This window comes from Homo sapiens, chromosome 19 (assembly GCF_000001405.40).
Source record: "Homo sapiens chromosome 19, GRCh38.p14 Primary Assembly".
In the NCBI taxonomy this organism is placed as follows: domain Eukaryota; kingdom Metazoa; phylum Chordata; class Mammalia; order Primates; family Hominidae; genus Homo; species Homo sapiens.
In genome coordinates this window covers 56,808,637-56,833,575 of record NC_000019.10, presented here as the reverse complement: position 1 = coordinate 56,833,575, position 24,939 = coordinate 56,808,637, and the positions used below count along the sequence as shown (strand labels likewise).

Here is a 24,939-nt window from a genome sequence, read left to right as displayed (position 1 = left end):
TAGAAGGAATCAGGCTGTAGCATGCACTTTAATACTGAGAATTTGGATGAAGGGACACTGAGTGTCGGGCATTTAAACTGGGAGGTGACGTAGGCCTGGGCTGGGACAGCATCTTACTCCATGTGCGTGCTGAAGTAGAGAATGTCGGTCTGCAGAGAGAGGCAGGAGAATGGAGCAAACAAGAAGAGAGACGAGACCACACACCACGCTGTCCCTGGGAGACGAAGAGAGTAACCTCCTCGGTTCCTGACTTTAAAGTTCTCAATTCCAGCCCCCTTTTAATGAGGTAGGTAGAACGAGTTAGGGGGCTGAATCTAGGTGCACCATGGTGAGGGACCAAAGTAAGTAAATAGAAATGGGACTGAAGGAGACTCGGTGGATTTTCTCCTGCATCAGATGGGATGTGGGAGCCTGAGGCCAAACCGGAGTCACAGGATTTCTTCTCACACATGGTCCCAGACGCTTTCTAGTGCATGATGTGTTCTTTCATTAAGTTCTTCCCTGCTCAGTTGAACACTGACCCATCATTTCTCTGATTAAAGCCATGGATCTTCCCTGACTTCTGGCAAGGATGCCTGATGAGTTTCATCTTTATTATGTGTTATATTAATTGTAAGAGCCATGCTTTTATTTCCTACTCATTTTAATGGAATAGAAGTAAAGTGTCATAAAATATCCAAAGAATGGCATCAGTACCACCATCCAGACTTCAATGGCAATGCTGTCATGCAGCAGGCAGCGCCAGGCTTGTTCTGTATACAGAGAGGTTTCATGTTTAGACATCTAGTGTAAAGAAAACATCCTTTGGAGATCAAAGAACGCCAGACTCCCAGAAGCACCCTTCCTGCCTGGCTGTGTAGAGGGATCCTTTATTAGTGGCCCCATCACTTGGCGCCTCTCCTCCCTCCCCTTGAAGTTGGTGACCTTTCTTTGTCCCCTGGCCCAGAGTCAGCTAGCCCTTGTGTGCCCCTAACTGCTGTTGGCTACTACTTAACACTGAGTCCTGCTCTGAAGAGAGAGCAGAGGGAGATATGGAAGCTTTAGTAATGAGGGGTGTGTGGGAGCCCACCTTCAAGCCAGGAAGGATATGGGTTTGCCCTGTGGGCCAGAGTTCAGTCTTGAGCCATATGACGGCTAGACAGCTGTCAATGAAGTGAGGATTTGGGTGTGGAGCTTGATGCGTGTTAGCCCCCTCTGTGGTACAGTCACTGGAGAGGGGAGGTACAGATGGTGACCACAGGGTACTGTCGGTGGGAGTGCTTAAGGGTCAGAGGGAGATTGTATTATGGGGAACCCAGCAGAGAAAGGGCAGGGCCTGATGTGCTGTAACAAGCTGGGCAGGAAGGAAAACAAACACGCTAGGAAACAGTAATTGCATTTACTTACATTTTTATATTCAGTTTTTTTCCTGATTGCGAAGTTAAAATAACATTTTAAATAGAGATGGAAAAAGAAACAGAGACTTGTTATTATTAATCATTTATTCTGATAGATTTCCTCTATTTTATGAATAGTCTTAATACAAGTTTATGTGAGTTTTCTTCCAGTTTAGTTTGTATGTACTGCCATATGTTTGATTATTTTTTACATACATGAGATCATGCCATTTATTAAACAGTTCACACTCAAGGTCTCCATCTATAGCTTTGCTTTCTGAAAACTGCATTATATTCCATTGTGTGGACATTCTCATTCTCTGTGTACACGTAAATGGGAATATTTGCAGTAAGAACAACATAAGTATAGATTTTAAGATTTATTAATAGCAACAAAGTTAACCAGTGGGTGTGGCTTGCAGTTTCTATGGTGAATGTTTTGCAATACCTGCATGTAGTGCTGTGTTTTATTTTTATAATCAGAAAATAAAGCTGTAACATTCCTTGACAACACGACTTAATGGTTATGTAACATTTTGCTAAATACTTTGTTTTCATTCCTTGTTTAATGAAAACTCAGGAGAGATGCTGATTTTTGGATGCAGTAACTTACTTAGAACAAAGTATGTTTGTCACTGGCCCTAGTGGCCTTAGCCTTCCAGAGATGTGTAGCTGAAATACCTAATTTCTTAGGGGAGGCTCCATGCCAGCAGTGGTTATATTGGCCTTTCCTAACGTCAAAGGCCAACCCTAATTCTAGAAATGCATGCTTGAGTAACCAAACACTGAGGTATTAGCGGTCCTGTCATGGCCTTTTTGTTAAAGTTATCCTTTGCCATTTAGCTGTAAGAAAGTTCCTAGTTTATATTTAAATAAGGAATCCATTTCCAGTCCTTTATTATAAATTAAGTCCCCATGTGTCTATAGACTTTTACACAGTTGAATTCTGGACTCTGTTATGTCCCAGTGGTATATTTGTCCTAGTGCTTATATCCTTATATTGGAAAAAACACTTTATTTTTGTGTGTTGGAGTCATTTTACAGACAAACCACCTCCCACTCCAAATAGACCTTATGCAGGGTTGTCTTGATATTCTTGTACATTTATTCTTCCAGAAGAACTGGATTATCAGTTTGTCAAAACTCCCCACCTCAAAATAAAAAGGAGCTTTTTAAATGTGATACACGTGTCTTTATGTATTTATTTCAGACTTATTGCCCTTCTGTCATTTATTTTATTTTATTTTATTTTTTATTGTTTTTTATTTTTTTGGTGATTCAGTCTAGTTCTGTCACCCAGGCTGGAATGCAGGGGCATGATCTTAGCCCACTGCCCCCTCCACCTCCCAGGGCCCCCCTGCATCAGCCTCTTGAGTAGTTTGGATTACAGGCTCATGCCACCACACCCGGCTAATTTTTGTGTTCCTTCTGTAAATTTTTGAAATTTTGTTTGAAGTTGCAGGTAACTTTGTTAAATTTATTTATGGAGATTTATTTATTTGTTTTGCTATTAATGGGAATTATTTCTCTTGCTGTATTTACTCATAAGGTTTTGTAGTTCAAAATAATGCTTGCCCCATATTTATACTTTTCTTTTTCTTCAGTTGCACTAGCTAGGACTTCCAGGGTCATGTTAAATTGTAGTTGTGGTATAGCTGTCCCTTCCTTGTCCCCACTTCCAGAGGAACATCTTTAATGTTTAATAACATGCTTGTTTGCATGTATTTGAGATAAGTCTTTATAATGCTTAGATGGTCTCCTGCTTTTACTCTGCTAAGAATTTATGAGGAAAGGCTGTTGAAGTTTGCAAATGTTTTTTAACTTGAAATACTGCTTGTGGGCTCCCCTTCCCCTTTCATCCTTTATGTAACAGTTTACCCTGATGGGACATCCTCCTTGTATTCCTGGAATAGCCTTTCAAGATCATGGGCTATTATTTGGACTTTGTTAGTTTGGGTTTATTAAATGTTTTTGCATCTATATGCAAATAATGTTTATTGAACACCTATAAAAATATAGAGATGAAAAAGGTAACAGAGTCTTTGCCCATGGAGCCTTGCGGTAGGGTATAAATACAGGTGCTCTGTTGTTCTGTTGGATTCATACATCTTCAAGCACAGCTCTGATTAATAAGCTACGTTTTTATTGATGGCCCGTTTAGGCCATCCTCAGGCAGATTAACTCCTCAGCTTTAATATTTCATTTGATAGCATCAGGCAAGCCTTTAGACCTTTCTTCCTCTCAGCACCTGCAAACACGTATCTTCTGTTTTCTTCAGTGGTAGGCGTGGCTGTTGCCATGGAGAAGCTGGCCTGGGGAAGTGGGGGCCAAGTGGGCAGAGCAGTTATGCTTTTGATTGGCCAGACTCGCTGTCACAGAAGGTCACGTGGGATCTGGTCTTCCCCAGTCAGGGTGAGGTAAGTATGTGGCCCTGGCAGGTGCAAATTTCAGCATCTGGCCCCACTGCTAGTTGCCCTTTGGGCAGCAAGTAGAGGACGGGTTGAATCCAAGGCTAAGGGTTGGGCCACTCGGCCAGGAAGGCAGCTAACCTCATTGCATATGGCCCACCTTGTGTCAGGTAGCCCTGCAGGAGAAGGTTGACCAGCACTTCCTCTTCCTGCCTTTGGCTCTGGGTTGCTCTAATGTGACTTGTGTTAGGACTGTGGTTACATAGCAGTAACACAACAGAACACGTTTCCCTGTCAGTGGTGCTCGTCCCTTCCCACCATTCCATGTGTAAAATGTGTTACCTGCCATTATTTTGTGTTCAAGGTTTTACCTTTTACAAACCAGAAATTAGCTGTACATACAAAGGTTAAACCATAGTGTGCAGCTGACTTTTTTTTTTTTTTTTTTGAGATGGAGTCTCGCTCTGTTGCCCAGGCTGGAGCGCAGTGGTGCGATTTTGGCTCACTGCAACCTCTGCCTCCTGGGTCCAAGTGATTCTCCTGCCTCAGCCTCCTGAGTAGCTGGGATTACTGCCACCACGCCCAGCTAATTTTTGTATTTTTAGTAGAGATGGAGTTTCACCACGTTGGCCAGGCTGGTCTCGAACTCCTGACCTCAGGTAATCTACCCGCCTCGGCCTCCCAAAGTGCTGGGATTACAGGCGTGAGCCACTGCGCCCAGCTGCAGCTGACTTTTTAGCTTTTTTTTCTTATTATCATTTTATCTACTTGGCTATATTTGTTCTTAAATGGAGAATTGCTGGTTCAAAAGAAGTAGGTGTTTTTTTTAGTATCTTTAAACAGTGGCCAAAATGGGATCCAGAAATGTGGTTCATGCCTGCACCAGCTAGCTTCTCTACACCCTCACTAGCATCAATTTTCATCTTTTAAACATTTGCCCATTCGACAGGTCAAAAAAGGTTTATTGTAATATTTTACATTTCTTTGATTTTTGATGTTAAGTAACCGGCCTTTATTATCACTAATTTTAGGAACTCTGTGTATTAGTGTTGTTTATTTTCATATTGGGCTATTTTTCCTAATGCCAAAAGCCTTTTACATTTCAAACATTAACTGTCATCTGTGTTATAAAATACTTTTCCCCCTCCCTTTTTGCTTGGTTTTTATTTTGGTTGGTTTTTATAGTGCAGAAAAGTTGGACCCATCTTTATTTTCCTGTCTCCCACGTGGTGGCCTTTCAGTGGTCTCTGCCATTGGAATTACGCTTGAGCATTTGTTTGACTGTCCCTGTTCTCTGCTGTTGTAAACAGTGCTTCTGTGAACACACTTTTGAACTGTATATCTTTGTGCACATGGGCAGATGGGTCTGTGAGTTAGATTTCAGAAGTGGAATTGCCAAGATAGGGGATGGCATTGTATTTATGTACTGACAGTTGTTGGGTGTAATTGAGGGGTATATTCAGATTGCAACTGCAATATCATAAGTATTTATTGGGTCTAACAGGTTTCAAAGTTGATTCTTTAGGGTTTTCTAAATTGACTTTCATGTACCTGCTAATGGCCAGGTTAGGGTATGACTATGGATTCAAGCTGTGGATGGTGATAGGGAGGCGATGCGGGGAGAGCCTGGGCTCAGCATCAGTGTAAAGATGTTACGGCTGCCTGCACCTGCTCTGTGAGTAGCACAACCTCTAAAGGCCTCTACTGGTAGTTTTGTTTATTGTTTTGTTTTAACTTTGAATTTATTTTTTTGACTAGGTAATACATGCTCATGGTAAAATAAAAATAAAAACAAAAAACAAAAGGAGAATATACAATGAAAAAGTAAGTTGCCCTCCCTTTCCTGACCCCTAGTTCCCTTCCCCAGAGGCAATTGCGATTAGTCATCATTAATAGTCTCTTATATATCCTTCTAGAAATCATCTGTCTAAGCACATCTTTTTTTAGTTTCTGAGAATGCTGTATACAGTGCTGTGTCCGGTTTTGCACTTAACTATCTTGGAGATCATTTCATACTCATTTATTTAGAGTTGCCTTATTTTAAAGGGTTTCATAGTAATTCATTATACAAACATAACATATCTTGTCTATTAACAACACTTCAATGAATATATTCTTGCACATAGGTCATTACATATCTCTGAGGTAAATTCATAGAAGTAGAATTTGTAGGAGAGGAGGATATGTGCACTTTTAATTTTGATAAAATTTGCATTGCCACAGGCAGTATATGAGTGTACTTGTTTCTTCCCGTGCATACAAACATATGTTGCCCGGCTTTATGATTGATTGTTTTGTTTCCAAAGCCTTTCTTTACTCCCAAATGAGTTTCCTCTGCCATGGTGGGAAGTAGCTCAGATCTGATTTTTTTTTTTAAGGTTTTTCTGTTAAAAAAATAACTTCCATTTTTCAATGGCTTCTATTGACCAAGGGCCAAGTTCTATTGGCCTGGTCAGAAAATCTTGAGCATGTTAAGGGAAGATTGTGTATGTTTAATCCTGAATTTCTTGAGGAAAAGCAATGTGTTTTATTTTTTTTGGCACAGAAGTTGGCATCCACCTTGTGACAAGATACATATGGGCATTCAAGTGGTCACAAAATTAATTGTAGGAAGTCCTCCATCTCTTTTCTGTGCTCTGGAATGGTTTTTATAACACGGTAAATATTTTATTCACAGAAAGTTTACTTGGGAAGTTGCTCTTTACATTATTTCAGCTTTTTAGATTTCTTCCCTAGTGGTCATATTTTTCTCTGCTTCTTGAGTCAGGTTGGGCTATTTGTATTTTCTTTAAAAAAATTATTGGTTTCCTATTGAACTCTATAAGCCTGCCATTCTGATATATAGCTTTCACCTAGGGTACTTTATGCTTCAATTCATGTCTGTTAGGGAGAGAAATTCACAGAATAGAAGCATATATATGTGTATAGATCTTACATAAGGGAATGTTAGTTTTATCTCTCTGTGCCTCAGATGTGTTTTTCTTGTCTTATTGTAATTGAGTAGAACTGCATAGAATAATGTTCAATAATAGCAGCATTAAGACTTTTATTTCTGCTTTCATGAGTTTTGGTTCGTGGTTTCTTAGTGATATCTTTGTCTTGCGTTTTTGACTTGTTCTGGTTTCATAAAGACAGTTTGAAAGCTTTTTATTTCTCCTGTCTGGCATGGTTTATATAGCATGGGAATGGCCTTTCCCCGAAGGTATAGAAGGCATCACCCCAGTGCTATTTGAGTCCCCAGTTGTTTGGGGAGTTAATTCTCTGACACTCCTTCTACATGTCTTTCATATTCTTAGTCTGTGTATTTCTTCCTTTAAAACTTCTGCAGATACCTGTGTTTTGACTCTGTTCCTGTGGATAGCTGCTTGGTCTGAAGTTCCAGAAAGGATCCTGTTCCCAGACAGGTGATTACATATCTGAGGGTATCTTGTTGCCTGAGGATGAGGGCTAGTATCATTTCAGGTACCAGAGTGTTCTCCTGAGTCTGTCTGCCACATAACAGAGTTGGGCCGTCTGCCCTTGCCTGTCTCCCTCACAGGCACAGACCTCTGCTCTTGCCCTGTCCTGGGTTAGAGTGACCATGTCTGAAATGTCACACCAATCATCTGGAGCCTGGACTCTCTGGTCTGTTGCCTTCCCTTGCTTTGGGATTCTTCTGCCCAGCAGAGCATTATCTATGTTGTGCTCTCCGTGGTTTCTCAGTCCTATGAAGGAAGGCAGCAAGGAAATAGTCCAGTCGCTAAGGTCTTCAGGATCGAGGCATTTGCATTGGATGGTGCCCAAGCTCCATGGGATGATAATATGCAGGAGAGAGCGTGGGAGGGCAGTTTGCATAGGGAGGGAAGTGGGAGCCCATCACTGAGACGAGTAAACATGAGTTTACCGTGATTACCACATTGATTTGCAAGTGATAATGTCTAATGAGAGACTCTGAATAATGGAAACACCTTCAGTTTTCCTTTAGACTTTTTCCAAATTAAAAAATTTAAACTTGCTTTCCTTTTAAAACAAAGGGAGAAAATTTCTGTTGCATATGGTTTTTTTTCTTCTCTGGAAGTAAAGCCAGTAGGTAGTTTATGCTCCCAGACCTAGATTTCTTTCCCATATTGCCTTACTTAGTTGCACCAGATGTGCTGACCAGTCATTAAAATACGCAATAAAATGCAAATAATAGCAAAAATGCTTTAAGGAAATGTATAGCTTTACTTGGTTACATAAAAAAAAGGAGAGATTGAAAATCTTTACATTTATGTCCAATCTCAAAAGTTTAAAAAATGGAAGGGGGCAGATAATAAAATAAAGAGAAGGAAATAAATGAACTAAGTAAAGAAACAGTAAGAAAGGAATGTCAAAACAGAAAGCCGGTTCTTTTAGACAGATTAGACCTTTGTCAAGATTGATGAAGGCAAAAGAACGTGCAGTAGCATCAAGAGGCTCAATGGTCACTTCTCACTGTGTGAGGGAATAATGTCATATTACCTAGAGTTGAGTACTTTTAATATTTTTGAATGGTCTTCCATTTTTTACATGTTGTATACTGTGTTTTAATAATTGTGTTAAGGGAAGAAATGTTAGGGGAGGATTTGCCCCAACTCCTACTTCCCCTTTTCATTTTTGCTAATAAACGTGCTGACGTCTGATTTTAGTACTGGCTAGGGCCTTGAACATTTCTCTTGTGCCTTGCATTGGGCAGTTAAGTCTTTTTAGGTATCTTAGTTTATTTAAGCTTCACAATTCTGAAAGGGATGGAGGTGCTGTTATTCTTATTTCTCAGATTACAGAGAGACTTCTAGGGCATTAGACAAGTTGCCCACAGTCCCAAGTTAGTAGCCCAAGTTAGTAGCCGAGCTAACTCCTCGAGTAGGTCTCTGTGAAGCCCAGAGGTCATGCTTGTAACTGCTGTGCTGAGGCCAACTTTGTGCGGTTGTTTGCCTATTTACTGGGGACTCCCATATCCCAAAAGCATTGTCGATGCCTCTGGTAAGGTGGCCTCCACTGCTGCCTGGTCTTCAACTTCTGGGACATGTGTATATCTCCTTACGATCCACAGGTCCCTGAGTACTGACGGTCACAGGCTGCCGCGTCTTTCCTGTTGACTCATGTTTGGTTCCTCCAGTGAAAATTTTACTTAGAGAAATGCTGCCTCCAAAGCACTTGTCTGCCACCAAACCTAAGAAGTCCTGGGCCCCAAATCTGTATGAGCTAGACAGTGACTTGACTAAGGAGCCGGATGTCATCATAGGAGAAGGTCCAACTGACTCTGAGTTTTTTCATCAGAGGTTTCGGAACCTAATCTATGTGGAATTTGTTGGGCCTCGGAAGACCCTGATCAAACTCCGAAACCTCTGCCTCGATTGGTTGCAGCCGGAGACCCGCACCAAGGAGGAGATCATCGAGCTCTTGGTCCTTGAGCAGTACCTGACCATCATCCCTGAAAAGCTCAAGCCTTGGGTGCGAGCAAAAAAGCCGGAGAACTGTGAGAAGCTCGTCACTCTGCTGGAGAATTACAAGGAGATGTACCAACCAGAAGGTGAGAGTCTCCACGGGGTGTTGGTGGTCAGTGCAGGCCTCAGGTGTCCCCTGGGGCTCTCAGCCTCCACACTTCTGACATGGTCTGGACTGGATAACTCTCTGTCCTGGGCAGCGGTGGGGATGTCCTGTGTACTGTGGGATATTGAGCTGCATCATGATTTTCTGGGTGTGGCCACCAAAAGTGTCTCCACACATGCCCAGGTATCCCCTGGTCGCCAAAACCTCCCTAGTGCAGAACCACCATCCTGAGTCAGGAGAGGGAAAGGAGACACTTCTGTAGAAGGGAGAAAACCTCCTATGGCTCCTGCCTTTTTGGTGTGGTGTGCTAGGAGGTTGCCTTCTGGCTGTTTGTGTCTGGGGGTGAGGTCGGGGTGGTCACAGCCACCATGCTCCCCCCACCCAGTTTTTAGTATGCCAGGAGTGGTTGGAAGCCGCTGAAGGGTTTTGAACTCAGAAATGTCAGGATCAGGTCATTCCAACCATGTGTGTCTGTGACAGGGAGATGCGGCTCAGGGATTGGGGGGAACTATTGTGAGAATGTGGGCCAGAGATAGTAACTTGGCGACCGGTGTCCTCTTAGACGACAACAACAGTGACGTGACCAGCGACGACGACATGACCCGGAACAGAAGAGAGTCCTCACCACCTCACTCAGTCCATTCTTTCAGTGGTGAGTACCCATCCCCACTGGTCACCCATGGGCAGGCGCTGCCAGATGCTTCCAGATGGAGACACAGTGGGTTGGGGCCTCCATGAAGATGACCCGCCATCCCCGAGTGGTCAGCTTCACTCAGAGATCTGAGGAGAGGGTAAATTAATTGATGTCATAATGAGACATTTTTATATCTAAACAGACACCTTAAATACTTAATACCGTTTTATTCAACGATAAAGTATATAAAGCTATTTGGAATTTGCAACAGGCTGCTTCCAGCTGTACCCCCAGCCTCCTCAGGAAGGTTCATTAAAGATGCTTCAGTGAGCTTTTATAGGGAGCACTGCTTTCAGGGAGGGTGTGTGTGTTGTTTTCTTGGGTTTTGTTTTTTTTGTAGTAGAATAACGTGTACTTTAAGATCGGCTGCCAGACAGTAGGGGGTCTGCAGTCCATTCTCCTGAATGTGGACTCAGCCCCTTAGGAACTGGGAAGCCAGCAAAGAGTCTGAAGTGGGGGTTAGCTACTGGACTGAGCTTTGGAACTTGCTTGGAAGCAAGCCCCACTTGGGCAAAGCCTGCAGAAACCATGTTGCGGGTATATGATAAAGAAGGGGCCAGATGAGCCTGGGAACCTGGAGCTCTCTGTTTTGGATCCATCTCCTTGTGGGAAGAGGGTAGCATCTCTTTCCAGAGGGGTGTTTGTGCACATGCAGGGAAAACAGGTGTGTCAAAGAGCTTTGTTAACCACTGGAATGTCTCACCTGCTTAGGTGACCGGGACTGGGACCGGAGGGGCAGAAGCAGAGACATGGAGCCACGAGACCGCTGGTCCCACACCAGGAACCCAAGAAGCAGTGAGTCTTAACCACTTTCTTTCCCAGTAGGAGATATAGAGCATGTGCTGTGCACAGGTTCAAGGGGAAAGTGCCAGGGCCTCGAAGTTTCTGCTGCTCCATTTGGAGTATATTCCGCTTCCCCAAAAGTTTAGTCCAAGGCTCGTATTTTTGAAGTTCCACTCGGTACCACCAGCACAGGTTTCACCACATAGACCTGTTGCCACCTAAACTATTTGCTCAGTATTCTTAAGCTGGTGCATTAAAAAAAAAAAAACTGGAAGTTTCTGTATGAAAGACTATGCCACTGCAAAAATTGAAAACTAGTATGAAGTGCCATAGGCAGAAGGCGAGAATGAAAAACACATTGTAACAATATTGTTAACTAGGAATGTCTGCCATGACTTCCTGCAGTGTTAGGGAAGTGCCACATCTGAGCACCAGGCCTGAGATTTGGAAGGGAATCAATCATCACACCAGTGTATTGTTGGTGTCCATACTGCTGGAAATCATTTCCTCTTCTTCCTGGACTTGGAGAACACTGCTGTGGGCAGCAGGGCACCCTAAAATTGATCAGGAGAAGGATATCAGGAGTGAGTGACATTTAGTGACGGTTCACAACACAATAGGCATTGTTCAGAGCCATGACCCTGTGGGACGGTCTCTGATGCCATCTCCCTGTCACACATTGCAGCTGGGGAGACCCAGAGGTTGTGCCCGAAGGATGAGGCTAGTGGACACTGTACCTGGACCCACACAGCTTGGGCACAATCTGAACCACCTCCGAGACTGGGAGCAGAAGGATGAGGCAGGGCCCCTGGCCCTGCCCTGGGTCTGGGTTGTTGTAGGGCCACTGGTTTTATGGGACTCCTCAGAGGCTGCCACAGAATGCAGAGAAGAGAAAGGCACTTGCTCTCATACACTCACACCCCAGCTGGCTTCATAGTTGAGTGGGACAAACCTGGGACCTGCAGGATGGACTGGGCCCTGCTTCTTGTTGATGCCTTTTTTCTTCCCAGGGATGCCTCCGCGGGATCTTTCCCTTCCTGTGGTGGCGAAAACAAGCTTTGAAATGGACAGAGAGGACGACAGGGACTCCAGGGCTTATGAGTCCCGATCTCAGGTATGCTCAGGTTTCCTCTCTTTCTAGAAAGGCCATCTTCATTTCATGGCAGAGACGCCTTTCTTTCCCCAGATGGTGTGTTTATCTGCCCCCTAGAGTCCAGCTGGGGTGAGAGTCCCAGCGCTCCAGGAGGAGCCCGGGCCCATCCCTTAGGTGACAAGTAGCCCAGGTTGCTGCTGGCTGTTTCTTTGTCGTTCATGTGGTCAGAGGAGCTCCTGCCCCCTCAGCATGTGTGTCACTTGGTAGGTTGGTCACATTGGCCGTTCCCTACAGGGCCAGGGAAGCAGAGTGACTCTGGAGATGTTTCTGGTCCTCAGGAGGGAGCCAGGAAAGCTGTGGGTCTGCAGAGTAGACTGGCCAGGGAGCACAAAGGCTCTGGAGCTGACAGGAGCTGGGTTTAAAGCCTGGCTCTGCCACTTGCTAGCTGTGTGGCCTTGGGCCATTTACTCATAAGCTGAATTTAAGTTTCCTCATCTGTAAAATGAATATGGTGATTGCTCCCAGGGCTGCTGTGAAAAGTCACTCACACACATACATAAAGTACCTGGCACATGGTAGGCACACCGTTAAATGTTAACAATTATGGCAGTTGTGGTTTAAGAGGCAGCATGTGCCGGGGAGATTCATGAAGGGAAAAAAAATGTGGAACTTGAGCTTGTTTTTTAGGAAGGAGGAGAGGGGTCACTTATACATGGTGGAGTGTGGAGGAGGACCCCAGCACTGACTGGACTCAAAGAAGGGAGAAGCCATTGGGCTGAGCCTTCCTTTCCTTCACATATCAGTACCCATCCCATGTCAGAAAGCAGGCCTAGGCCCTGGGGGGCACAGCAGTGAGCAACACAGAGAGGGGCCCTGCCCTGAGAAGCTTTTGACAGTTGCACAAATAAGTATTGACACAAATGTTGTATATAACTGCTCATCATTCTCAGTGTCCTCAAGGAAAAATAGAGAGTTAACAAGAAATTGTAACAAGGGCCTTGATTTGGATTGAAGGGAAATGTCTTGGAGGCATTAACAGTTGCCATTTAGAGCCAGGAGCACGCCGGGTCAGGTGTTGGGGGAGGGGACCCCAGGCATTAGGGAGAGCTCAGCTAAAGTTGTGGGATGGGAACCAAACCAAGGGCCAGGTGGCTGGGATATAGGAAGAAGGCTGGAGGCATGTGTGGGCCTGGCCACTGGTGTCTTGGTAGTTGGGCTTTGTCTTGTTTTGCTTTTTAAATGCCCTTCCTTGACAATGTGTGAAGAATTGGCATCCGAGCCCCATGTCTGCATAATTAAAAGTCTGGAAGCTACTGATTCCTACTGACTCAGTATGGTGGTAACACCAGCAGCAAATGACACAAATTACATTTTGAAGGTGTACACAACAGAAAATTCTCTCATCTTTTAGCTTCATGTGTAAATTTCTTAATTGTTCACATGTATAGATCATGTTGTGAAAACTACATTGAGCCATACTAGCATTGTTTTCAGAACAGCATCTCTTCCATTGAACTTGATTGCAGTTTGTATGCATTAAGATGTCATTGTTGATTACAAACACAAAGCGAACAACCAATTTAGGGCTGCCCACTGGCCTAGATTTTAATTTTCAATCAAAGCGTGCTTTTTCTTTCATGTGAAAAAAGAATTTTATCTGTGAAGCTCTGCTGTGTTTCCTTGCCCTACTTAGTTTTTGTTGTTGTTTCTGCTTTTTTGTGGCAGGACACAGGCAGTTCATGGATAAGGCTTCCCTCTTAAACCCAGATACCCGTACCTCTTTGTCTTTGCTTACTCAGCAAGTCCTCTTTTTTTTGCTACATTTTTCATGTTGCTCCATGCCTCTTCCCAGCAATAGAACTATGGTAGATTTAATATCAAGACATTTGTATTTCCTTTACATAATTTTCTTAATATTTAAGCAAGACATCACACTGCAGAAAATCCTCACCCACAGTATTGCAAAGCAGATAGATACTCTTCTCCCCATTTTACAGGTGAAGAACCTGAAAGAAAGGTTCAAAAAGATTTCCGTTCCCAAGGCTGCATAGCTCATAATTGGTGCAATCCTTCTTTGACCCAGATCTCTGTCCAGCTCCAAAGCCTGTGGGCTTCCCACAGCACCATCTCCCTCCTCAAGTCTCTCTCCAGCCTCAGTGCCATTCTTCCTGGGACCATGACTCCCTGAAACCAGTTCTAGTCAGCCCTCTGGCAATAAGCAAAGGTCCTTTAGAATCCTGGTAGAAGGTTCTCCTCAGTAATGTGAGGAATTTTAAAATTCCTTTTTAGGTAAATATCCATTAAGACAGAAAAGGCAATTATAAAAATGCCCTCAGGGCTTACAGTTATTCCTGGGTGATTTGGAAATTGTGCAAACTGGAGACTCCCTCAATGTAGCCATGCTATGCCATGGAGAAACCGGGAGGGAGGTTTAAGTCACATCCTGACCAGATGTCTTCCTGAATGTGTGTGTCTTCTTTCTGTTCCCTGAGTACTCCGTGCCTGTTTGATATTTAGTCTAAGTTTTCCCACCAATCCCTTTCTATATGTGTCATAATCTCACTTACCACTTAAGGCCCCACCTGCCCTCCACAAACCTTTGCACACTGTTCAGGCCCACCCTGAACTGTCCCTCTACAAAACCCGTTTAGCACTTACTATCTGTACCCCGATTTATTGTTTATTGTTCTCTAATTGTTTCATGAGTCTTTTCTCTCCAACCAAATTATAAGCTGCATGAGGGCAAGGAATATGTGTCATGCGTCTTTGGGATCTGCCTCAGAGTGTAGCACCAAGGTAGGTACGACGTAGGTCCCTAGTAACACTTGACTTGGATCACTCAGAACCCCAATACCGTGAGCACTTCCTATATAACTTCATATATGTAACTCCCATGTTGCCAACATTATTCTGTCTTTGAACATCGGTGGGGACAGACTCCATTGAGAGGTCTGTGTTTGCTGTTTTAGGATGCTGAATCATACCAAAATGTGGTGGACCTCGCTGAGGACAGGAAACCTCACAACACAATCCAGGACAACATGGAAAACTACAGGAAGCTGCTCTCCCTCGGTAAGCAGCTGCTTCTCTCAGTCACTCCCAGTCCAGTCATTGGAGCATTTTGTCATCTTGCTCCTTTTTAAGCTGGATGTTAGAGTCCACATTAATATATTTGGACTTCAAGGGTAATAAGAAATCTTTGAAAGATTTCAAATGAGGGAGTAAATGATAAAATTTGTGTTTTTAAGAAATGCCTCTGGCTTTGGGTAAAGATACATTGTACAGGGTGGGGACAAGCAGGGAGATGCTTCTTGCCACAAGAGTTGATACTTTTTTCCAGAGTGGTAGCACTGGAGGTTTTTAAGTAGACATTCAGGATGGGATCCTGAGTTCCCATGTGGACTTTCCTGGAAGACATCTAGCCCAAGTTGGTAGTGGGCAGTTGGCTGTGCTGCAGGTCTGTAAGGCCATGGGGCCTCAAGGGAGTGGGTGGAGGAAGAGCAGTCGCGAGGTAAGAGGAAGAAGGCCAGTGGAAAAGAGGACTTAAAAAGTGGTTACAAGAAGGTGAAGACTAAAAGACAATGCACTGATTTCAGGGACATGTGGGGTCTTTGTACACATTTCTGAGTGGAGTCAGAAGAATTACATGTAGATTAGAATGGATTAGGGAATAGATAGTAGGGAAATGAGACAGCAAATGTCTTCTGACATCCAAGGAATCAGATGTGGGCCACCTCATATTTAGTGGCTCAGTGAAAGATGAAGATCAATTTATGGTGATGAGTCTTGGTCCTCAACTTGAATTTGAGGCATCATATTGTCCTTGTGACCAGGAGTGCAGCTTGCTGAAGACGATGGCCACTCCCACATGACGCAGGGCCACTCATCAAGATCCAAGAGAAGTGCCTACCCAAGCACCAGTCGAGGTAAGCAGGAGGCACATCCCACAGAGGAGCCACACAACCAGTGAGATGCTATCAAGGAACTTCTACACTTTGCATTCCTAAACATCACAGAAGGGTGCACCCCTCCAAGTCCCACTGTCCTTCTTATGGGGACTAGGGAGTATTTACATTTGGGGTTTCTTTCCAGGTCTAAAAACTATGCCTGAAGCCAAAAAATCAACCCACCGGCGGGGGATTTGTGAAGATGAATCTTCCCACGGAGTGATAATGGAAAAATTCATCAAGGATGTGTCACGCAGTTCCAAATCGGGAAGAGCAAGGGAGTCAAGCGACCGGTCACAGAGATTCCCCAGAATGTCAGATGATAACTGGAAGGACATTTCATTGAACAAGAGGGAGTCAGTGATCCAGCAGCGGGTTTATGAAGGGAATGCATTTAGGGGAGGCTTTAGGTTTAATTCAACCCTTGTTTCCAGAAAGAGAGTTCTTGAAAGAAAGAGGCGCTATCATTTTGACACAGATGGGAAGGGCTCGATTCACGATCAAAAAGGCTGTCCCAGGAAGAAGCCCTTTGAATGTGGTAGTGAGATGAGAAAAGCCATGAGCGTGAGCAGCCTGAGCAGCCTCAGCTCCCCCTCCTTTACCGAGTCACAGCCAATTGATTTTGGGGCAATGCCATATGTATGTGATGAGTGTGGGAGGTCGTTCAGTGTCATCTCAGAATTTGTTGAGCACCAGATCATGCATACTAGAGAGAACCTCTATGAGTATGGTGAGTCCTTTATCCACAGTGTGGCTGTCAGTGAAGTTCAGAAAAGTCAGGTTGGAGGGAAACGTTTTGAATGTAAGGACTGTGGAGAGACCTTCAATAAGAGTGCCGCCTTGGCTGAACATCGGAAGATTCATGCTAGAGGTTATCTTGTGGAATGTAAGAATCAGGAATGTGAGGAAGCCTTCATGCCTAGCCCCACCTTTAGTGAGCTTCAGAAAATATATGGCAAAGACAAATTCTACGAGTGCAGGGTGTGTAAGGAAACCTTCCTTCATAGTTCTGCCCTGATTGAGCACCAGAAAATCCACTTTGGGGATGACAAAGATAATGAGCGTGAACATGAACGTGAACGTGAACGTGAGCGCGGGGAAACCTTTAGGCCCAGCCCAGCCCTTAATGAGTTTCAGAAAATGTATGGTAAAGAGAAAATGTACGAATGTAAGGTGTGTGGGGAGACTTTCCTTCATAGCTCATCCCTGAAAGAACATCAGAAAATCCATACTAGAGGGAACCCATTTGAAAACAAGGGTAAAGTGTGTGAGGAAACCTTTATTCCTGGTCAGTCCCTTAAAAGGCGTCAGAAAACTTACAATAAGGAGAAGCTCTGTGACTTTACAGATGGCCGGGATGCCTTCATGCAAAGCTCAGAGCTCAGTGAGCATCAGAAAATTCATTCTCGAAAGAACCTCTTTGAAGGCAGAGGGTATGAGAAATCTGTCATTCATAGTGGGCCATTCACTGAATCTCAGAAGAGTCATACTATAACAAGACCTCTTGAAAGTGATGAGGACGAAAAGGCGTTCACCATTAGCTCTAACCCCTATGAAAACCAGAAGATTCCCACTAAGGAAAATGTCTATGAGGCAAAATCATATGAGAGGTCTGTTATTCATAGCTTAGCCTCTGTGGAAGCTCAGAAAAGTCACAGTGTAGCAGGGCCCAGTAAACCAAAAGTAATGGCAGAGTCTACCATTCAGAGCTTCGATGCTATCAACCATCAGAGAGTTCGTGCTGGAGGGAACACCTCTGAAGGAAGGGAATACAGTAGGTCTGTTATCCATAGCTTAGTGGCTTCCAAACCTCCAAGAAGTCACAATGGAAATGAATTGGTGGAATCTAATGAGAAGGGAGAATCCTCCATTTATATCTCAGACCTTAATGATAAGCGACAGAAGATTCCTGCCAGAGAGAACCCTTGTGAAGGGGGCAGTAAGAATCGCAACTATGAAGACTCTGTCATACAGAGTGTATTCCGTGCCAAACCTCAGAAAAGTGTTCCTGGAGAGGGATCTGGTGAGTTTAAGAAGGATGGCGAATTCTCTGTTCCCAGCTCAAATGTCCGTGAATACCAGAAGGCTCGTGCTAAAAAGAAATACATTGAGCATAGGAGCAATGAGACCTCTGTAATTCACTCTCTGCCTTTTGGTGAACAAACATTTCGCCCTCGAGGGATGCTCTATGAATGTCAGGAGTGTGGGGAGTGCTTTGCTCATAGCTCTGACCTCACTGAGCACCAGAAGATTCATGATAGGGAGAAGCCCTCTGGAAGCAGAAACTATGAATGGTCTGTCATTCGCAGCTTGGCCCCTACTGACCCTCAAACAAGTTACGCCCAAGAGCAGTATGCTAAAGAGCAAGCGCGGAACAAATGTAAGGACTTCAGACAATTTTTTGCTACCAGCGAAGACCTCAACACAAACCAGAAAATCTATGACCAAGAGAAGTCTCATGGCGAGGAGTCTCAAGGCGAGAATACTGATGGGGAGGAGACCCACAGCGAGGAGACCCATGGTCAGGAGACAATTGAAGACCCTGTCATTCAAGGCTCAGACATGGAAGACCCTCAGAAGGATGACCCTGATGACAAAATCTATGAATGTGAGGACTGTGGCCTGGGCTTTGTGGATCTCACAGACCTCACAGACCATCAGAAAGTCCACAGCAGGAAGTGCCTGGTTGACAGTCGGGAGTACACACATTCTGTAATTCACACCCATTCCATCAGCGAGTATCAGAGAGATTACACTGGAGAGCAGCTGTATGAATGTCCAAAGTGTGGGGAATCTTTTATTCATAGCTCATTCCTTTTCGAGCATCAGAGAATCCATGAACAAGACCAGTTGTATTCCATGAAGGGGTGTGATGATGGTTTTATTGCCCTCTTGCCCATGAAGCCACGGAGGAATCGTGCTGCAGAGAGGAATCCTGCTCTTGCTGGGTCGGCCATTCGATGCCTTTTGTGTGGACAAGGCTTCATTCATAGCTCTGCCCTTAATGAGCATATGAGACTTCATAGGGAAGATGATTTACTGGAGCAGAGCCAGATGGCTGAGGAAGCTATCATTCCAGGCTTAGCCCTCACTGAGTTTCAGAGAAGTCAGACCGAAGAGAGACTCTTTGAATGTGCAGTCTGTGGAGAATCTTTCGTCAACCCAGCAGAACTTGCAGATCACGTAACTGTTCATAAGAATGAGCCCTATGAGTACGGGTCCTCCTATACTCACACCTCATTTCTTACTGAGCCCCTCAAAGGAGCTATACCATTCTATGAATGCAAGGATTGTGGTAAGTCCTTTATTCATAGCACAGTCCTCACTAAACATAAGGAGCTTCATCTGGAAGAAGAAGAAGAAGATGAAGCAGCAGCAGCTGCAGCAGCAGCAGCCCAGGAAGTTGAAGCCAATGTCCATGTTCCACAAGTAGTTCTGAGGATTCAGGGCTTAAACGTAGAGGCTGCTGAGCCAGAAGTGGAGGCTGCCGAGCCAGAAGTGGAGGCTGCTGAGCCAGAAGTGGAGGCTGCTGAGCCAAACGGAGAGGCTGAAGGGCCAGATGGAGAGGCTGCAGAGCCCATTGGAGAGGCTGGACAGCCAAATGGAGAGGCCGAGCAGCCAAATGGGGATGCTGATGAGCCAGATGGTGCAGGTATTGAAGACCCAGAAGAAAGAGCTGAAGAGCCAGAGGGAAAAGCTGAAGAGCCAGAGGGAGATGCCGACGAGCCTGACGGTGTGGGAATTGAAGACCCAGAAGAAGGTGAAGATCAAGAGATTCAGGTAGAAGAACCATACTATGACTGCCATGAATGCACAGAAACCTTCACTTCCAGCACAGCATTCAGTGAACACCTGAAAACTCATGCCAGCATGATCATATTTGAGCCTGCAAATGCCTTTGGGGAGTGCTCAGGCTACATCGAACGTGCCAGCACCAGCACAGGTGGTGCCAATCAAGCTGATGAGAAGTACTTCAAATGTGACGTCTGTGGGCAGCTCTTCAATGACCGCCTGTCCCTCGCCAGACACCAGAATACCCACACTGGCTGAGGGCATGGGGTAAAGGTTAGAAAACCTTCACCTAGGACTTGACCCTTACCAAACCACAGAGAATCCAAACCAATCCATGATAATGTCAGTAGGAGACTTAACCTTAGTGTGTTACACACCTGACTTAACATCTCTAAACTCAGATTGAAAAGAGACCGAATGTGCAGATTCCACAGTCTTAAGCTTTCCCCTTCAGATGTCAGTGTCTGCATGTGGGAAAGCCATAGCACACATCTTACCTTTCCAAGTAATCAGATTGAGAAAACCCTATGAGTATTCCAGACTACAGAGTTTGCCCAAATCAACTGTAAATGACACTTGTGTAACGTATATATAGTGTTTCATGAGGTGTATATAAAATAGCAAATTATGACAGAACAGTGATCACATATATTTGGATTTATATGATATACAGTTACAGTTTACTCTGCAGAGGTACCTTACCTGGTATTCTTTGAATTTTTTTTTTTTTTGGAGGAGGAAGAGAGCAACAAATTTGATTATATTTTTAAGTGTCTTAGATCCTGAGAAAGATTTATTGTGCATTATTTGAACCCTGTCAATATCTTTTTGAGTAATTGTTTTGTTTCTTACCCTTAAATAGTCTTGTGAAGCTGTAGGCATGATAGATAACATGGCTTTTACTCCTTACTGTTTGAAAAGATAAGTACTTTAGCTTCTTTCTGCAGCCATTTCATCTGCGCCAACACTTTGGAACCTAATACTGTGTAAGGCTTTACAATATACGGATTGGCTTTTTGTGACCCAGATTGATTGGTTGCCACATGTTATGTTTGTTGAAGTGGTTCTCATGCAAAAATATTACACATTTGTGTTCTGGGTTTTTTTTTTTTTTAACCAACTCAATATGTGTTTGATGATAGTGAATTGATAAAACCCGAAGCTTTTCCCTGTAAATCTTACATCTTTGCCTTTAAAGAATGGGTTACAACCATCACTAGATCACAGTAGTGCCTAATGAAGGTTGAGAACCGTAGGAGAGGCTCTCATGCTGTAAATAATGTTGCAGGCTAATAACCTTTCATCACTTCCTTTGTGCGCTTCCTGCCTTAAGTGACAAGTAGCAACATGGCTTGGGTCCCCTGTGCAGCATCAGCTTATGCTGCCACAAGTCAGTTTGCACCCTAGGTGCCCAGGAGCTAGTATCCTTAGATCTTTCTATCGCTAACTTAATTCTCTTCGTTATTTATCTGACCCTCTAACTCCATGTCTAACTTGCATTAAAAAAAAAAAAATTCTTTACAGTCAACCCAAGCTTAACATGGACTCAGGTTCCCCAGCAGCCTTAATTTGTTTTGTTAACATCTGTTCCTTCTTTTTCAGCTCTCCTAGAGTATTTCTGAGTGTTGTGTTCATCTAATCTTAGTATTCTTTTAATTACAAATTGACCTCACAGCTTGAGGTTTCTTGTGTCCTATTCTGTGGACTACCTGTGCTCCTTTGCTTCCCCTCCCCTCGCATAATAACTATATTAAGAAATTTTTTTTGGCCTTGAGTTGGCTGGAAAAAAAATATAAAATTTAAAAAATTTAAAAAAAAAGATTTGCAAAATGTAAGTGTAGATCATTTGAACAAGCAAAATTAAAGTACCCACTGGGGGAAATGTGTCTGAATCTTACTCTTCTGGATCTGCAGGATTAGGGCTTGGAAGTATGTCAAAGATGCAGGGAGTGTCAAAGTTTAGGAAGATTGTAGAGCTGAGAGCAAGAAGCAGAAATGAGTGAGTCAAAGAAGGGAGTCCTAATATATCACCAGATCTAGGAGGGGAGAGGAGACAGACAGAAGAAAACACCAGAGGCAAGAACTGTAGAAGGCCAGGTTTCTGAGAATGAATTGAGCGGGGTGTCCTGAGCAGTTTGGAAAAGGAGTTTTTGATGGTATGGTGTAGGTGAGGGCTGGCTGCATAGGAAGGACTGAGGTTGGAACGGACATCGGGAAAGCTGAGGGGCAGTGAGGTTTACTACATGGGAAAAGGACTCTTGAAACGAGAATCAGTGTTGATGTCGGGGTGAACTTTGTGGGTACATTACTTGGTGTTAACATTGTTGGCAGTGGTAGCCCCTTTTCAGAAAGCAACTTGCTGTAAGTCAGGGTGTCCGTTCCAACCTTCAGCTAGTGAAAAGGTAGTAACAAATGGTAAACAAGAGAATGATTGTTTAAACCTATCTGTGGACACTTAATGCAACTGTTTAAAAATGATAATCACGAGTTATGTAGCAACGTGGAAATATATTTACAGAACATTAAGTGGAGAAAGCAGGACACGAAAGTATATTTATACTACAGTTATAACTCAACAGTTCATTTATATGCTGTTCATTTAACAGTTCATTTAAACAGTTCATTATAACTGTTTAAAAATATATATGCTTATAGTCAAAAGCTGTTGTGGTGTTGTTGTTGTAGGCTTATAGTTGAGCATTATTTTCTTAAATTTCTTGAATGTTCTTTATGGTAGTGTTACTAAAAAGTTTATGATCACATTTTCATTGTGAACATAATTTGAACTCATTATCACACACTTGGAAAATACAGAAAAGTGGAGGAAAAAAAATCATATCCCCACCATCCAAAGACATATACTCTCCTCTTATCTTGTTCATTCTTGTTTCTGTGCACAGGTTTATGATTATAACTGTGTCAAAATGTATATTCAAAATAGCTGTTACATTACCTTTGTGGAATTATGGTTAAATACTTTCACTTTAATTTTTTCAAATGTTCCCTATAATAATGTCCTGATAACAGTGTATTATGTGTGTCTCCATTGGTGTGCATAATACATACCCAGAGGAAAAATTAGAAAATAAAGTAAATTATTTTAAAAAATTACCTATATTCCCAACACCTAACAACTACTGCTAACATCTTGATCTGTTTCCTCTATCTTGTTTCAGTGCACACGCTTGTGATAACAGTGTTAAATATGTGTGCATAAAGTCTTAAATGAAAAGATGTGGAAAATAACTAAAATAGTGTTGTCATTGTGGGAATTTGGTTAAATATTTTGTCTCAAATTCCTTAAATAATCTTTGGTGTTTTGGTAATAAATTTTATGTATGTATTTTCCATTACAAATATAATACATACTCATACAAAACTTTGGAAATTCAGTAAAGAAAATTCACACATATTCCCAACACCCAACAACAATTAACTGTTAACATCTTGATCTGTGCACTAGTCTGTGATTATTAGGGTGTTAGTGATAAGTATGCATAAATGTCAAAGATGGGAAGAAAGATGAAAAACAAGAAATAGTTGTGTGGTTGTTGTGGGATTATGGTTATTTTGTTTCGGTTTCCTTGAAAGGTCATCATTCTAGTGTTTTGGTAGTCCACCTTTACTACATATATTTCCATTATATATGAAATGTGTTCATTATAGAAACTTTGAAGTTACAGAAATGTAGAAGAGAAACTCACCCATGTTTTCACCATCCAAAGAGTGTGGTTAACATCTTGATATATTTTCTTCATCTTGTTTCTGTGCACAGGTTTTTGGTTTGTTAATATGGTTGTGGTCATTCTATCTGTAATAGTGTCAACAATAAAAATAAAGTTAAAAATAAATATTTCTCAGTCTCTTTTGTCTGTTTTGTTTTTGGGGCTTTAAATATGTTATTTTGTTAGAGTTATAAATCCAAAAGCTTAGTTCCTCCTTTAGCCTAAAAAGTTTGGTTTGCAAATCTTACTCTATTTTTAAGTATTATCTATTTCAACAATTACTTCTAAGGGATTTTTAAATACTGTTTGATTTCACATTTGTAACTGCCCTTATGAAACTAAAACATATGTTCCAACAATTTTTTTAAAGTTGATAATGACCGCAAGTACATCTTAGTTACTTGAGTGGGCATTTTTAATTGGAAATGTGAGATTGTCTCAAACATAAAAAATCACAGACAATAATAAACCCTTAACATAAAAGTGTTGATACTATGTTATAGAATCTCAAGTGTTTATTCCTGACTCTTGCCTGAGGTTAAAAGGTAATTATCCTGAGTGGGTCATCTCTGTACTGTTTTTCCCCCAAGTTCATTAACCATACTTTAACCTGACTTCCCCACGAGAAACATCCCATGCAATTCAGTAGATTGTCATCCCTGAGAGTAATTTTTAAACATGCCTGTGATTCCATAATGATCAGAGCTTTTCAACCAGCTTGCTAACTGGAACCCTGTTGGCGACCACAGTGGATAGCACCATACCCAATTTGCGGCTGCTGTGTCCCTGATTCCATAAGTCGGAGGAGGAGATGATTGTGTACTTCATGCCCGTCTAATATCCTTCATGTCACATGATTGGATTTTGTTCTTAAGATATAAAAGTGTACTTGCCACTAATTCTAACTAGGATTTGACAGAGTCCTGCATTCTTTCATGTTCTTAGAACTTTATATCTTGTGGCATCTGACTATTTGGTCACAGCTTCCATGGTCATTCTGTGACGAGCATCAGCATAGGTCAGGGTGGGAGGATTGGGACTTTTTAAGGATGGATTTCCTAAATAATGTGTTACAAGAGGCTGTAAAGGAAGGGAATGAAGTAGGTGTCATTAGGGGTTGTTTGACCAATCCTTATACTCTTGGGCAATTCCTTCCTCCACCCCACAACCCAGTTGAAGGGGTAACTAACTTCCCTACTGCTATGCTTATTCTGTTAGACTTGACCTCTCCCTGGTGTCAGTTGATTGATGCCCATAGGTTCCCCGTGTCCAGTCAGACTCAGAGTGAGGGCTACCTAGGTGGTCATATGGGTTGGGGCTGGGTATACTTGTGAATAAACAGGCCTAGAAGGAAATAGACCATAAAGCCAGAGGGAATCCTGGTTCCTGGTGCCTCATCCACCCCAGTGCCTTGTGGAGTCTGGCTGAACTGCCTGCCCTTGGTTTCTTTTACATGGTTAATCCATTTTTTGACAAACCTCTCAAGGATTAGTGGATGTTGAATCTAAACACTAATTGTTGGGGATCAGAACATTGCAGGGTGAAGAGCAATGAACATACACTGTCTGCAG

General features: G+C 42.9%; 2 protein-coding genes and 1 non-coding gene across 45 annotated transcripts in view; 2 read left to right on the top strand and 1 right to left on the bottom strand.

The window, feature by feature from the left end:
* PEG3 (paternally expressed 3) overlaps nucleotides 1-23,494 on the top strand; it is a 30,645-nt gene extending 7,151 nt beyond the window's left edge. For 3 of the 29 annotated variants that reach the window (NM_001369720.1, NM_001369731.1, NM_001369724.1), the window contains 9 exons: nucleotides 156-286; nucleotides 7,113-7,188; nucleotides 9,149-9,314; nucleotides 9,897-9,986; nucleotides 10,740-10,823; nucleotides 11,822-11,925; nucleotides 14,874-14,976; nucleotides 15,738-15,830; nucleotides 15,997-23,494. In NM_001369720.1, the coding sequence (NP_001356649.1) occupies nucleotides 9,299-9,314; nucleotides 9,897-9,986; nucleotides 10,740-10,823; nucleotides 11,822-11,925; nucleotides 14,874-14,976; nucleotides 15,738-15,830; nucleotides 15,997-19,901 (4,395 nt within the window). In that variant the 5' untranslated portion in view covers nucleotides 156-286; nucleotides 7,113-7,188; nucleotides 9,149-9,298 and the 3' untranslated portion in view covers nucleotides 19,902-23,494. Of the gene's footprint in view, nucleotides 1-155; nucleotides 2,559-3,654; nucleotides 3,794-6,329; nucleotides 6,443-7,112; nucleotides 7,189-8,834; nucleotides 9,315-9,896; nucleotides 9,987-10,739; nucleotides 10,824-11,821; nucleotides 11,926-14,873; nucleotides 14,977-15,737; nucleotides 15,831-15,996 lie in introns of those variants that run through there. The other 26 variants (NM_001369725.1, NM_001146187.2, NM_001369733.1 and 23 more) reach the window with 19 other exon arrangements.
* The window catches only part of ZIM2 (zinc finger imprinted 2), a 66,180-nt gene that overhangs the window by 7,151 nt on the left and 34,090 nt on the right, over nucleotides 1-24,939 (top strand). For 3 of the 15 annotated variants that reach the window (NR_163141.1, NM_001369774.1, NM_001369773.1), the window contains exons 3-8: nucleotides 9,149-9,314; nucleotides 9,897-9,986; nucleotides 10,740-10,823; nucleotides 11,822-11,925; nucleotides 14,874-14,976; nucleotides 15,738-15,830. Coding sequence is in view for 11 of the 15 variants with exons in the window: in NM_001369774.1 (NP_001356703.1) it covers nucleotides 9,299-9,314; nucleotides 9,897-9,986; nucleotides 10,740-10,823; nucleotides 11,822-11,925; nucleotides 14,874-14,976; nucleotides 15,738-15,830 (490 nt within the window). In the remaining 4 variants the exon portion in view is untranslated. Of the gene's footprint in view, nucleotides 1-155; nucleotides 287-7,112; nucleotides 7,189-8,834; nucleotides 9,315-9,896; nucleotides 9,987-10,739; nucleotides 10,824-11,821; nucleotides 11,926-14,873; nucleotides 14,977-15,737; nucleotides 15,831-24,939 lie in introns of all 15 variants that reach the window. The other 12 variants (NR_163140.1, NM_001146326.2, NM_001369771.1 and 9 more) reach the window with 8 other exon arrangements.
* PEG3-AS1 (PEG3 antisense RNA 1) lies at nucleotides 19,783-21,096 on the bottom strand. The gene has a single exon (NR_023847.2).